The 1,016-nt window shown below is 44.1% G+C and overlaps 1 annotated feature.

Moving 5' to 3' along the window:
• Positions 274-443: an enhancer, noted in NCBI's record as "experimental_33392 CRE fragment used in MPRA reporter constructs". NCBI's record gives its function as "activates a minimal promoter by MPRAs in K562 erythroleukemia cells, with activity observed for both the introgressed and non-introgressed 13:81030705 variant alleles {active_cell/tissue: K562}" and the evidence as "EXISTENCE:reporter gene assay evidence [ECO:0000049][PMID:34662402]".

The raw sequence follows: 1,016 nt of genomic DNA, 5'->3' as shown, positions 1-1,016 counted from the left end.
TCCCCCAGGCTGAAGTGCAATGGCATGATCTCCACTCACTGAAACCTCCCAGGTTCAAGTGATTCTCCTGCCTCAGCCTCCTGAGTAGCTGGGATTACAGGCGCCTGCCACCACGCCTGGCTAATTTTTGTATTTTTAATAGAGACGGGGTTTCACCATGTTGGCCAGGCTGGTCTCAAACTCCTGACCTCAGGTGATCTGCCCACCTCGGCCTCCCAAAGTGCTGGTATTACAGGTGTGAGTCACCATGCCCAGCTAAATCTTTACTCAGAATAAGGTCGTGAAGAATTTCTTCTATGTTTTCTTCCAGTAGTTTTCTTTGCGGGGGGTGGGGAAGGGGGTTGAGATGGGATCTCACTCTGTCACCCAGGCTGAAGTACAGTGGTGTAAACATAGCTCACTGTAGTCTTGAATTCCTAGACTCAAGCAATCCTCCCACCTCAGCCTCCTGAATAGCTATGACTACAAATGTGCACCACCACACCCAGCTAATTAAAAAAAAAAAAATTGTAGAGATGGGGTCTTGCTATGTTGACCAGGTTGGTCTCAATCTCTTGGCCTCAAACAGTCTTCCCACCTTGGCCTTTCAAAGTGCTGGGATGACAAGCATGAGCCTCTGTGCTCAGCTCTTCTAATAGTTTTATAGTTTCAGGTCTTACATTTAAGTCTTTCATCCATATTGAGTTCATTTTTGTATGTGGTGACAGACAGAGGTCAAGTTTCATTCTTATGTGTATGAATATCCAGTTTTCCTAGCAGCATTTATTGAAGAGGCTGTGCTTTCCCCCATAAATGTTCTTGGTTCTTTTGTCAAAGATCAGTTGGCTGTAAATACCAGATTTGTTTCTGAGCTCTCTATTCTGTTTCATTGGTCTATGTGTCTGTTCTTATGCTACTACCATGCTATTTTGATTTCTATAGCTTTGTAAGTATATTTTGAAGTCAGGTAGTGTGATGCCTCTAGCTTTGCTCTTTCTGCTTGGGATTGCTTTAGCTATCCAGGGTATTTTCTGGTT

This window comes from Homo sapiens, chromosome 13 (assembly GCF_000001405.40).
Source record: "Homo sapiens chromosome 13, GRCh38.p14 Primary Assembly".
NCBI lineage: Eukaryota > Metazoa > Chordata > Mammalia > Primates > Hominidae > Homo > Homo sapiens.
The sequence above is the reverse complement of the archived record's forward strand: the minus strand, read 5'-3'. Positions and strand labels throughout refer to the sequence as shown.